This window comes from Homo sapiens, chromosome 2 (assembly GCF_000001405.40).
Source record: "Homo sapiens chromosome 2, GRCh38.p14 Primary Assembly".
Classification (NCBI taxonomy): Eukaryota; Metazoa; Chordata; class Mammalia; order Primates; family Hominidae; genus Homo; species Homo sapiens.
The window spans coordinates 43946749-43961046 of NC_000002.12; the positions used below are offsets into that span (position 1 = coordinate 43946749).

Consider the following 14298-nt stretch of genomic DNA (forward strand, 5'->3'; position numbering starts at 1 on the left):
AAGTGAAAAATAGTCTAGTGATATCCCACAAATTGCAGACATACACTAAAATGAACACAAAGTACAGCTGGATGCCCGCTGAAAAAAGGCAAGGGACCCTTTATCTCAGAAAGAGCTTTTTTCCAGCAGGAAAATGGAATTTCAATCCCTGCATTAACAACCTAGTAATATTTGACTTGCAAATGACTACTGCGTGTATCAGTTGCTTGACAATCTAGATATAAGAGACCGGAGCCATGGCTTGAAAGGACATTTGGCATGTATGATAAACCTATCACAGCTGTTACTATCATTCACTTTGCAGATTATCGTAAACAAACTACAGCAACCAGAAAACATGCCATTCAAGGTGTAGCTGAAATTAGTTAACCTTTCATTTAATTGCATTCTTTACAAGCCTGACATATAACGATCAATTGTAAAAATCATAAATATTATATTTGGTTTTTCTTATTGTTACCAAGAATTTTTTGCCTTAATAATATTTAAATATTAAAACAAATGTTACCTCTTCTGAACAAAGCACTAATATGAGTTGCTTTAGGACATCTCTTATAGGTTGATTTTCAGCTTTTAGTGTTTCAAGTGTGGACTCCAATTCAGATGATGTAAGTTGCACAGTCTACAGAAAAGAAAAAAGAAAAGAAAAATTTCCTGAAAAAGGAAATATAGTATGCCTTTTGTCACTCTTCCCTTTAAACTGACTTTCCTTTCTACCTTCCTAAATGTCATAAATGCTATCAGGGATATTAATTGGGGAATCCATGGATGGACTCCAGGGATTTACAAACCTTCTGAGATTATATGCAAATTTCTTAGATATGTTGATTTTTCTGAGGTGGGGAACAGGTTTTACCAACTTCTTAGAGGTATACAAGATGATAAAAATGTGAGGAATCACTGGTTTTATAAGTACACAATCCAGAATACTCATTAAATATGGGTATTATAGCATGTAGAATCTAGTCAAAATCCTACTTACTTTTTGAAAGTCTAAATTCTTACTCTCAACCAACAAGTGAGCATCCTAAAATTGAAATTTAAATTAGCCCAGAATTAGAAAACACACGTAAAAATACATCAGCAAACATCAAAAGCAAATTTGTAAGTCTCACCTCATATTACTACTTTTCATCTTTCCAAAATTTTAGACATTCTCTTCATACTTTATTAATCAATGTAATTAACGTTATAAATATATTTATGAATATATAAATAGTATTTATGAACAATCAATGAAAAGCTTCGTTTTAATGGCTGTCATTGAAACAAATTTTTTTTCTGACCAAAAGCATCATATTTAAATAAAATTTTAACATGCTGTTATATGTAAGTTAAGCATTTTATCCAGTTGATTGCTATTTCACACACACCTTAATCAATTCAGGAACATGGTAGCTTTCCAGGAGATTACGAATGCCTCTGTAGATATTTTCAGGAATTTTTACATTCTGTGAGAAGGGAAGGGAGGGGGGAAAAAACCTGAGTTTTAGACAACCAAACTGAAATTTGTCTAACAGAAATTATCTCAGACATAATTTAAGTCTCCAACTCTTGCATGTCATTGAGAAGTGGTCTGGTTGTACTTAAAAGCAGCAATTTCAAATCTAATAGATACATGTCAGGCAGGACAGGCATTATATAGCAAAAAACGAAATGGTACCATCTTCTCCAGCTGATGGAAGTATTGTCTCAAATGCTCCTCCTTGGCCTGTACCTCTGAGTCACTCATGCTGTCAATCAAGTTATAAAGAAAATAGCCAACAGCTTCTGTGGAAAAAAACAAGAGAAAGCATTCCACTAAAATTACCGAGACTGTCATGTTATCAAGATTAATTTATAAGAAATCATTTTGGTGTGAGATGTCACCCTGATGAGAGGCTCTGAAATGGCAACAATGATCACTGAGGCATAGAGATTATGTGGTTTGGGAGCACATATCTAACTGGTGAGTGAAAGGAATATTAATTATTTTCAGACCGAGTGACAGCTTTTCAGTACTGAATCTTACTTCAATCTATTTTTTTTCCACCACTCTGTGACAGAAGTGGTCCTGCCCAAGGCCTTACCCCTTTCCTGTCCAAATCACACGTAATAAGAATAAATAAATGTCTTGTACACATTTCTATACTGTTTTTTTTTTGTGGACAATATTTAGGGAAGCACATAAAATTAGAAAGGATTGTTAAATGTTGAGTAAAGAAAGTTAAACAATTTTAATAAGCAGATACAGTAATCCTGTGGAGAGCTGCCTATTAGCCAATGAAAAACCAAGATTAACAAAGATGTTTTGTAACAACAGTAATTTTCCTTTGCATTCAAGCATAAAATGTATAGGGCCATGTTACAGTAATACCTAGGATAGAAATGTAAACTTTCAAGAGGGGTACCATCTTACAGAAAACTATATAGTCTAGCTTCATTATATGAAAAATGAAAATCATTAAATGTCAAAACAATGTATTTGGGGCAATAAATTACATTTAAGCGGAAATCCACAAGAACCTTCGCTACATTTTATGTTTAAAATTAACTACACCTGCAAAACATTAAAAGCACATAAATACTAAGAATCACTGATTTTTAAGCCTATTTCCATAGATGTTAGAAGAAACATTTCCCCAATATCTGAAAAGAAAAAGCCTCCCAACCCTGTCTTTAGAAAAAATAATTGTAACAAAATCAAACACTTTAGATCTCAAAATGTTGTAATCAATATAAAGATTTATAACCAAATGTTTTCAAATTCCACTTTAAAAAATAAAGTATTTACTGCTGTAATCCTCCTAACCCATCATTACACAGAAAAATGGATTTGTGGATAAGTTACAATCATCGAAATTGAAACGCTACCCGTCGGTCCTCGAGGCTCCTGGCAATAACGTCCATCCTTGTACAACAATTCTGTTATCTGGTAAGACAGAAAATTCGTGCATTGCAGCAAGAGAAGCAAACAAGAACAAACACAATCTGAAATTGAATTCTTGAAATAATAAAACCTCTCCCCAGTAAGGTACTATTCTATTTCACAGTAATTCAAAACCACCCCCACCCGCCAAGGAGATTGTTTTGTTTTTAAATAATAGGTTTGTCTTTTAAAAACAAAAACAAATCCATGTTGAAGGAAAACTGCAATGTTTTGTGAAATGTCACACAGAAAGACTCTAAACTGATTTATAAATTGATATATAAACATCACTCTGAATGAACTGTTATAAATAGAAAAGAGCTTATAGGAATTATTGACCAATATTATTCCTCATTATATTGCTTTTGGTCTTGTTGACACTGAACTGGTTTCCTCATTTTATATTAAGTTTTACTGAAATATAAAGTAAAATATCCTGAACTGCTAAATAACTTACATTTTTTAGATATTTAATAACAACTTCCATTCATCTTAATGAGACTAAAACAAAAGGGGTCTAAAGATTAAAGTGTCTATTCTCATGGATTCTTTTTTTTTTAATTTCCAACTTTTATTTTAAGTTCAGGGGTACATGTGCAGGATGTGCAGGTTTGTTACATCGGTAAACGTGTGCCATGGTGGTCGGCTGCACAGATCATCCCATCACCCAGGTATTAAGCCCAGCATCCATTAGCTATTCTTCCTGATCCTCTCCCTCCTCCCATTGGATTCTTATCAATTGGATTCACAAACACTAAAAGACACACATAACTATTATTTTTCAACATTAACTCTGCCAGCAAAATTTTAGTAGAAAACCAAATATAGGTTTCATGATAAAAATTATTACATAACCTATGGTATTGGCTTGTAACGTTAAAAGCACCTTATGATTTGCAATATTAGAGGGACTTACCTCGCTCCAAAGATTTATATTCATAGACCTGCAGAGGGCAGCAAAGGATCGAAAATAAACCCAGGTTTATTTTCAAGTATATGCATACTTGTAATATGTACAGATCAAAGTATTAAAATTAATAAGTAAATAAATGTTTGCTGTATCAGGATGAATTTTCAGGACAAAGGTAATTTAGAAAGGCTGACACTCACCCACCTCAAATATTCAAAATAGGCCAGGCCTGGTGGCTCACATCTGCAATCCCAGCACTTTGGGAGGCCAAGGCAGGTGGATCACCTGAGGTCAGGAGTTTGAGACCAGCCTGGCCAACATGGTGAAATCCCGTCTCCACTAGAAGTAGAAAAATTAGCCGGGAGTGTTGGTGTATGCCTGTAATCCAGGCTACTCGGGAGGCTGAGGCAGGAGAATTGCCTGAACCCGGGAAGCGGAGGTTGCAGTGAGCCGAGATCGTGCCACTGCACTCCAGCCTGGGAGACACAGTGAGTCTCAAAGTGACTGCCCACAGATTGCTTGTTACTTGTAATGGGAAAAACAGTTACTACATAATGGAGAAATCCCAACACCTGGACCGGGTGATCAAAACTAATGTGCCTTTAAATATAATTCCCTGAGAAGACAGAGTATCACTCATGTGGTCTTCCAGCAGGGGATAACTTGAAGCTGTAACAGTGAAGAATAAAATACAGTAAAATAAGATAAAAATTAGGTATCTTTTTTTGGTTAGGCTACAAAGAGCTTTAATTCCAAGGAATCTTAACTTGCCAGTAGCCTACCACATTTGAAAAACAGGACAAGGAAAGTAGAGAACAATCAGAGTTTGCAAGAAAGTGAGGGGCTAATGTGCCAAAGTGCATAATATTAAGTGGTAAAACTTGCCATGGTTCCTTTGCTGTATCCCGGACCCATCTGGGCATTTGATGAATTCTGATTATCAACTAGGATTAATTTTGTCAGGTATGATATTACGGTGGTTATGTTGTTTTATTTAAAGTAAGTTCTGAGATATATACTGAAGTATTTATGGGTAGATGACAAAGATCCATAGTTATTTTTAATAGTCCAGCAAAGAAAGAGAAGGGGAATGGTAAAACAGGACTGCCAAAATCTTGGCTGTTAAAGCTGGGGGATGGGTACATGGCAGCTCTACTTTCGTGAAGGTTTAAAAATTCCAAAATAAAAAAATAAACACATACCATGTCCAGTCTAAATTTTGTACTTCTATTTTAACTCTCAACATTAGTAAGCTGGGCTTCCTTTATTTATTTATTTTTAAAATTTACTTTAACCATATATTTTTATCAAAGTATCAACTTACTGTCAAATAAAAAATAGTTAAGGCTGGGTGTGGTGGCTCACGCCTGTAATCACAGCGCTTTGGGAGGCTGAGGTGGGTAGATCACCTGAGGTCGGGAGTTCAAGACCAGCCTGACTAACATGGAGAAACCCCATCTCTACTAAAAATACAAAATTAGCCAGGCGTGGTGGCGCATGCCAGTAATCCCAGCTACTCAGGAGGCTGAGGCAGGAGAATCGCTTGAACCCGGGAGGCGGAGGTTGCGGTGAGCCAAGATCGCGCCACTGCACTCCAGCCTGGGCAACAAGAGCGAAATTCCGTCTCAAAAGAAAAAAAAAAAACAACTGGATATTAAGCTGCCCTCAAACGTGGCATGAAGTACCTAAGGAAGGCATGGAGATAAACTTTCAAAATTTCACATATACCTAAAACAACTGAAAATGACTAAAAGCACTACCTTGAATGTGAAGCTTCATGGTGAATGCCACAGGTTTGAAACCAAAACAAAAATAAACGGTATCCTTCAAAACCAAGCTGTTGTAAGGAACAGTTACCAGTGCCCAAACCAGTGCAATCTGACTTCTGGCCCCAAACTCCACTGAAACTACTTATGCTAAAATTACCAGTGATTTTTAATTCAAAATTCAACTAACATTTTTTTGGTCCTCTTTCACTAAGTTTTGGAATTTCTGTTGTTGTTAGCCATTATCTGCTAGATGCTACTCAACCTCTTTCAGGAACTGTCCTTCCCTACATGCCCCTTAAAAGTGACCCAGACTTTGTACTAGGTTCTAAGTGCATTATATTTTTTATCTTAAAGACAATCCTGCATGTACGTATTTAAGTTCTTTGTTTCCCAGAAGAGGAAACAAATTTGGTAAGGCGATGTAAAATACCTTCAACTGGAAATTCCACAGTCCCCTAAAAGAATCCCATAAATTGTGAATGATCTCCTAATGTTTCCTGTCCCCCTATCTGCCTTTACCTGTACTCTCCCCTTTGAATATCTGTCAATCTTAACTTCATCATGTAAACCTTTCAATGGCTCGAAGCCATGTGACTCAAGGTCCAAATATCCTAACTTAGAATGAGACTACTCATAAAGACCCCTGGGCTACCATTTTGGCTTTATTTCTTGTAATTATTTCATAGTTTCTTAAGCTACTACCAATCTACTTACACTTCCCCAGAACCACTGTTCTCTCAGCCTCAATGCCTCGGCCTGAAAAACCCTTCCCTTCCCCTCTACAAACTCAATATGCCTCTCAGCAATTTCTCTGCAGCCCCTGCCCTGATTCATCCCTTCCCCAACCTTGGCAGAAGACTGAGTACCTTCTATAAACATTCATAGTTACGAAGACTAGTTTTTGGAGTAGAAGAAAGAAATCACCTGTAGTTACACAAGTGCTCTGAATTAGGCACATATTCTTATGAAAAATGCCAAGTTACCACAACCTACGATTTTTCTTTATCTACAATAAGAAAAATTAACCAATGGTATACAGTTTTAGGACTTACATGTTGAAATATGTTCCTGGAAGGAATCCGCTTAAACTTATTTTTACTATGTCAAGAATAAAGACAGATTTGCAACTGTGCAAACACTGGAGGCTCCTGGGTAGTGTCCCCTTTGTTAAACATATTTAAACATTTTATCTAACTTTAAAGTGGAAAGTTAAAAAAATGACCAATCTGTGGCTAGTTTTAAACCCAGGAATCAATTAAAAATTTTAGATGCTAACAAACAGGGAAAGCACCAAAAAAGGATTTAAGTCAGGGGAGACGCAGAGCACCTAGCTTGGTGTGGTTTAAAGATAAGGTAATCCATTTTCGAATATTTTCAATGTTATCTATTCAAATAAAAATATAAATAATCTGAAAGCACACATAAATTCAGTTATAGTATACATAATCCAATCACTAAAAACAAAACAAAGACACCAAGATTCTCAGAGCTTCTAGCTGGGCTTCTTCCACTACAATAGTATCAAAACTCTTCTCTTAAAGATACTCAATAATGGCCAGGCCGGTGGTTCATGCCTGTAATCCCAGCACTTTGGGAGGCCAAGGCTGGGGGTTCACTTGAGCCCAGGAATTTAACACCACCCTGGGCAATACAGCGAGACCTCATCTCCATTTTGAAAAGAAAAAAACTCAGTAACTTTTCCAAATACCAAACTGAACACCCTCTTTTTATAGGGCTATCTCCCCTACATCTCTGTAACTTGCGACACTGACTACAAACTCCTTTGACTCCTTCCAGTAACTATCCAAGATCTTATCCTTACATTTCTCTCTCATCTCTGCAACAAGGTTTAAAAAAAAACATATTTCACATGTGACAGTGTATAGATAAATATCCCTCAAATGCAATACCTTACAAATTGACAACAAAAATTGTATGACCTAGTAGAAAACTGGCAAAGAATTTAAATAGGTTATTTCATAGAAGAAATCCAAATGGCCAATAAGTATGCTCTAACCCTGCTTAATAGTTAGGAAGATGCAAATTGAAAATTATACATTAAGATGTCATTTGTCATCCATCAGCTTGGCCAAAATTAAAAAGCATTGTAATGTCTAATACTTGTAAGTTTGCAGGAAGTGGGTACTCTCATACATTGCTGGTAGAAGTGTGAATTGCTAATCTAAGTATGAGCTAATACAACTTTTTCTGGAAAAGTAGTATGGTAGTAGCTATTAAAGAATACATACACTCTTGAAAACAGACGTCTCTTTTTTACATTCTAGCCACTGAGGGGGGATAAACTAATGTATATATAATATATATGTACACACATGTGCATGCATGTGCACAAACACATATACATATGGACATAATATGTAATGTACCACTTTGTTTTGGTAGTGGCAAAAATTAGAAGGAATCTGAGTCCATTAATAAAGGAGTGATTGAAAATTTATGGTATAGCCCTACCATGGAATCCCCTCCAGATATAAATGCTTAGATTTATATCAGTAGACCAAGAGATGTTCATGTAGTGTTGTTAAGTGAAAAAGAAAGATGAGTAGTATGTAAAGTATGATATATTACTTTTGTTTAAACAAAACAAAGCAAAACTTCAAACACCTCTTACAGGTCTCTGCTTCTATACAGAGAAAAGCATGGAAGGATACACTCCAGGCTCTTAATTTTGGCTTCCACGATACGGGTTTTTATAGGGAGAGGGAAAGTACTTCATGAACTCCATTAAATTATAGTCATAATTTTATAATATGCATCTTTTGCAGGGAAAGATGAGCCATAGCTTCCAACAAATTCTCAAAGAGATCAATGAATCAAAAAAGGTTAGGGCAGCAGGTGCAGAGGCTCACACCTGCAATACCAGCACCTTGGGAGGCAGAGGTGGCAGGATCACCTGAGGCCAGGAGTTCAAGACCAGCCTGGGCAACACGGTGAGACTCCATCTCCACAAAAAAATTTTAAAATTAGCTGGGCGTGGTAGTGCACACCTGTAGTCTTGGCTAAATGGGAGCCTGAAGCAGGAGGATTACTTGAGCTCAGAATTTGGAGGCTGCAATGAGCCATGTTCGTACCACTGCACTGCAGCCTGGGTGACAGAGCAAGACTCTGTCTCAAAAAGAAAAAAAAAAAAAAAAAAGAAAAGAAAATTATGAATCACTGTGCTACACTGCTTCTCTCAACAGAATAACCTGGGCAACATAGTGAGATCCCGTCTCTACAAAAAAATTTTAAAAATCAGCCAGCCATGGTGGCATGCGCCCATAGTCCCAGCTGCTCGGGAGGCTACGATGGGAGGATCGCTTGAGCCCGGGAGGTAAAGGCTGCAGTAGGCTGATTAACCCACTGCACTCTGGCCTTGGGGACAGAGCGAGACCCTATCTCAAAAAAAGAAACTCATTCTTGTGTGAACTACCAATAACTGATTCAACAAGGATTACCAATGGCTGCTAAAACCAAGGAGGGAAAAGTAATGGAAAAACAGGGTAGACACAGTCTCAAATTACCACCCCATAGTCTTCTTAGTAATTACAAAGTGGACAAGGGGCCTCTGCAAGAGAGATGTGCGAATCACCATCTTAACCAAGTGATCAAACTTTGGTGGTGGCATCATTATTGCACACCTGCCTTTATATCTGTTGATGTGATACAATGTAAGACGTGCCCATCACCCATGAAGTACTATTGCTAAAAATGCTTAATCTGAGTCTCATCATGGGAAAAAAAAAAAAACAGAAAAATACAAAATGTAGAAGAGACATTCCAGCCTGGGCTCTTAAAAAACAAAACAAAACAAAAACCAGTGTTATTAAAAAACAAACAAAAAAGCTAAGGAAATTGTTCTGCATTAAGATAATAAAGAGATGTAGCAATCAAATCCAATGCATCAATTTAATTGACTCCTCAGTCAAAAAGTGAAACATCTATAAAGGAAACTTGTTAAAGTGGGAAAATCTGAACATGGACTACATATATCAGATGGTGGTACAGTATTGTTAATTTTTTCAGAGTGATACTGATGTTGTGATTTTAGAGATGATGACTTTATTCTTAAGAGAAATATGCTGAAAGATCCAGTGTCATTATGCATACAACTTCAAGTGGTTCAGCCAAAAAGAAAAAAACGTGTGTGTGTGTGTGTGTGTGTGTGTGTGTGTGTGTAGGTACTTTCTTGTGTAGAGAAAGAGGGTATGAGAGAAAGTAGACACGGCAAAATATTAACAACTGGCAAATCTACACAAAGGGTATTACAGAGGATGGGCACAGTGGCTCATGCCTGTAAACCCAGCACTTTGGGAGGCCGAGGCAGGTGAATCACCTGAGGTCAGGAGTTCGAGACCAACCTGGCCAACATGGTGAAACCCCATCTCTACTAAAAATACAAAACTTAGCCAGGCGTGGTGGTGGGCACCGGTAGTCCCAGCTACTCAGCAGGCTGAGGCAGGAAAATCACCTGAACCCAGGAGGCGGACGTCGCAGTGAGCCAGGATCACACCACTGCATTGCAGCCTGGGCGACAGAGCAAGACTCCGTCTCAAAAAAATAAATCAAATAAAAAAGGGTGGTATGGGAGTATTCCCTTTTACTATTCTTTCAGCTTTTATGTTTATCTATTTTCAAAATAACAAAATTGGAAGGGCAAGGTCATTAACATTCTCTGAGCACACAGAAGGGGAGAATGATACTTTACTGAATAAAAGTCACCTTGCAATTAAATGCTCAAAGAATAAGCTGAACATACATATGCAAATTGGTCTGTAACTCCAACTTGCCATTTTGAAACAGGACTTTCTTCCTGGAAACAGGATCTTTACCAAACCTGTGTGCATTTCTCAGAAAAGATGACACAAAGCTGCCTAAATTTAATTCAATGACTTAAAAGAAAAAATTAAACAAGCAAAGGTTATTTCAGGTAAACTGAATGTACACTGAAAGATAAGAATATTTGTATTTTTCCTCATGCAATAAGTCAAAAGGACAGGAGAAATCAGTCCATGTTCAGGCAAGGAACATTTAAGTTGATCATCTTACCTCCTGAAGCCTAGCAGTAGGCTACTTCTTATAGACTGCAGCGAGATGGGCAATGTATTTGATTTCACTGCAAAAGAAAATGACCATCATTAAATCTCAGACCAAACAAATTTAAAAACCCTGTATTATCAAATTGAAAACATATTTATACCAATACCTTTTAGTTTTCATTTTGGAAATTGTATTTAAAAAATAAAAATGTTTTCATACAAAATTAGACAATGCAGTAATATATATCTGCAATATAAGCTACCCTTTTAACGTATTTTTAATTTTCATGAATATATACAACTAATTAATTTATAAATATCCTTTCCTATAAATGGCAATTACTAACATACCAGCAGAATCAGAGTCAGCCTGGTACACACACTGAGGCTGTATGTTGTTGGACATGGTGGCACCATGAAGAGAGAGACTGTAATACCCTACAAGACTTTTGTTCTTTAAAGACAGCACATGAGAGGAAAAATTCTTTTCTCGGAGAGGTGTTGGGTTCTGTTGAACCATTCATACTTTCTCATTTCATTTTCCACTATGATCAATGACCTGCACTCACACAAGAGTAACCACCTAAAGTAATAATAAAATAGGTCATACGTCCGTTATGTAATTGACTTATATTGATCTTTCACTTTTCTGAGTATTTGTTTGCTCTACTACTCATTTTGACATTTAACAGTCTACAACCTTGTATGTTTCAATGCTGACATTATAAGCCTGATTTGCCATTGTGTAAGAATCACACCTTACACTGACTCTTCACATAACCCTTGCCAAACTAGCAAGGGATGAGATCACAGTAGGCATTCCCTGAATTTGTTTTTCCCTGTAATTGTACTAAAATGGGACCATGTTATAAGTAATAGAGTTAATCTTTTCACTATAAATGTAATGTGGCTACTGAATAATACAAAAAGGATGGGATTAGAGAGGAATTCATAGTAGAAGCAAATTCTGAAGACAATAAATACAGTTTAAGTGAAGGTTAAGGTACCTGGTTTCATTAAAGAAAAATCCCATGGGAAAAGTCATGGCCCATTTTAAGTGTTCATCTCCCCAAAAATAACAAATTAACCCACACACATAAGGAGAATTGTTTTAGATCAGCTGCTATATTCCTTGAACAAGGAGCCTAAGTTTCTCAGTGCTTTTATAGTGTTTGAAAATCTAAAAGTCACTTTTAAAATGACCTGCACTGAGTCACTCAAGGAATTTTAAAGGGAACACCACCACATGCCTCTCAGCAGCTTTTAATTTCATGTGATCAAATTAGTTTTCCATGCCTACAAACACAAGTGGGAAAATGTTCTCTACTACTCCAAAACTTAATCAAGATAATCCATTTACTGTTCTCTACTACCTGACATTTCCTGTGATGTAGTAACCAGTAGTGCATTCCTAAGAGCTGCCTGAAGCACGTACCAGCAATCATAGAACGAACCGCTCTTCAAAGACTTGTAAATCAAAGCTGGAGGGGAAGGCACTGACAGGAAAAGCTCAAATACTTGGCAAACTTCTTGGCATTTTTCTTTTTTAAATCTAATAAACAACCTCTTGAAAATTCATTTTTATACTATTCAAAATAGTATTCTACAGAATATTGTCAAGTTTTTATTCATTAAAAAGATGACCAGAAACATCTCAGCTATGAAGGCTGCTGACAAAAAGCATCTAGTTTCCTTAGCAACAAACAAGCCTGAAAAATCAAGAGGTTGACAACGAAGTGGAATGGATGATATGATAAAAGGAAAAGGCAGCTCTCATGGATCCACCTCGTGAGCCCAGATTCCTCTGCTAATGCTTCTCTGTTTTCTTCTTGTCAGATTGGAAAATCTATATAGTATACAGAGTGGAAGGCAAAATCAATACACTCAGATAGCAGCCAGCAATAATACTCAATATTTGACTCAAATAACTACAACAGTCACCATTTTTCATACTGGACACTTTGCCTTTCCCTTACAATATTACAACAAATATTTTAAGCGACATGCACAAGTAATACATACCAATAACCTGGTTGGTATAAAGGTTCCACCCATACAGTTTGAATATAACATTAATGAGAGCTTAACTGTTAACATTTTAGGGAGCTAAAAATTAATTATGTCTGTGTTTTGTTTGTAAATGACATATTTTTCAGAAGATCTGAAAAACTGTCAAGCAACACCATGGACGTGTTAAAAAATAAGGTCTCTTAAGAACGTCTTATTTATTAATTAAAAATAAAATACAGGCCAGGCGCAGTGGCTCACACCTGTAATCCCAGCACTTTGGGAGGCTGAGGCAGGCGGATCACTTGTGGTCAGGAGTGGTGAAACTCTGTCTCTACTAAAAATACAAAAAATTAGCTGGGCATAGTGGCATGTGCCTATAATCCCAGCTACTCGGGAGGCTGAGGCAGGAGAATCGCTTCAACTCAGGAGGCAGAGGATGCAGTGAGTCAAGTTCGCACCACTGCATTCCAGCCTAGGTGACAGAGTGAGACTGTGTCTCAAAAATAAATAAAATAAAATAAAATAAAGTGCAGTATGGTGAAAAGAACAAAGCTAAAGTCTGAACATCTTACTTCTGGTTCAAATCACTAACCTTGGGCAAATCATTTAACTTCTCTATGCCTTTAGTCATCTATCAATGGAGATAATTGTATTAACATGTGATGAGCATTATAAAGCACACTAGTGTTTAAAAATGTTTAGTAAACATTTGCTGTGTTTTTGTTAATGAAGACTAGAAGTCTTTATAATAGATGTTAGTTTAAAAAACACTTCAGAAACAATACCGCATTTGATTTTCACAACTCCCCCAAGTTAGGTAGTACTATCCCTGTTTAGTAAAAGTGAAGCAGAGAGGTTAGAAGACTTCTTCTAAATCACATAATCGGTGGCCAAATTATAAAGAATATCCACGTCTTCAGGGTCTCCAGGTCCAGCCTTCAGTCTAACACCATATTACATATAATATTCAATGTCCTTATAACATTAAAATTACTTCCAAATTATCCACAAGTTCAACTCATAAACCGTTTTATCAGTCTGGCTTTAACAAAACATATAAACCTTCCTTGCTTTCATTGCGTGAACCACCCTGCATGCCCTCAATAGTAACTGAAATAAACATCTATCAAGTTTACCGCTAATGTTGTATACTTACAAAATGATAATACAAAGTCTAAGTTCCCATTTGCTGCTTCACTTCTCAATCCAGCTTGAGAAAACATATCACTATCAGACAGACATCCATTTTCCTGGAGATAAAGCATATATCAATGAGAATACATCTCAGCTAACAATATTTTGATAAGCCAAAGATCCTGTTTTCCTGATTATTTGAATCACCATATTCTCTGATTTTCTAGAAAAATAGATAAGCTCAGTAATTGAATTTTAGCAAAAATTTAAAGATGACATTTCAGCATTCTAAGTTAAATGCTTATCTTCAAATACAGATGGTCTGATGCCTTTAGAGGGCCTTACTTCCAGGATGAGTTTACTACTGAGGACACTAGAATAATTCTCCCATTCAAGACAAAACAAAGATTCAATGCATTAATCTAAAATATTTTGGGGCATACAGTTTGGCCAGGATCTAATTTAATGTAATTTAACTCATAGAGGCTCATCACTTGTCCCAACATCATTTGTTTAACAATTTAAATA

The 14298-nt window shown here is 36.5% G+C and overlaps 1 protein-coding gene across 5 annotated transcripts in view, besides 1 other annotated feature; it reads right to left on the bottom strand.

Moving 5' to 3' along the window:
- The window catches only part of LRPPRC (leucine rich pentatricopeptide repeat containing), a 110042-nt gene that overhangs the window by 60525 nt on the left and 35219 nt on the right, over positions 1-14298 (bottom strand). For all 5 annotated transcript variants that reach the window (XR_007068563.1, XM_047442809.1, NM_133259.4 and 2 more), the window contains exons 13-20: positions 13793-13886; positions 10637-10703; positions 3825-3852; positions 2854-2911; positions 1664-1770; positions 1374-1451; positions 983-1027; positions 509-622 (exon numbers count right to left, since the gene is read on the bottom strand). Coding sequence is in view for 4 of the 5 variants with exons in the window: in XM_047442809.1 (XP_047298765.1) it covers positions 509-622; positions 983-1027; positions 1374-1451; positions 1664-1770; positions 2854-2911; positions 3825-3852; positions 10637-10703; positions 13793-13886 (591 nt within the window). In the remaining variant the exon portion in view is untranslated. The remainder of the gene's footprint in view (positions 1-508; positions 623-982; positions 1028-1373; positions 1452-1663; positions 1771-2853; positions 2912-3824; positions 3853-10636; positions 10704-13792; positions 13887-14298) is intronic.
- Positions 10509-10709: a silencer, noted in NCBI's record as "peak3685 fragment used in MPRA reporter construct". NCBI's record gives its function as "represses an SCP1 promoter by STARR-seq MPRAs in K562 erythroleukemia cells {active_cell/tissue: K562}" and the evidence as "EXISTENCE:reporter gene assay evidence [ECO:0000049][PMID:32103011]".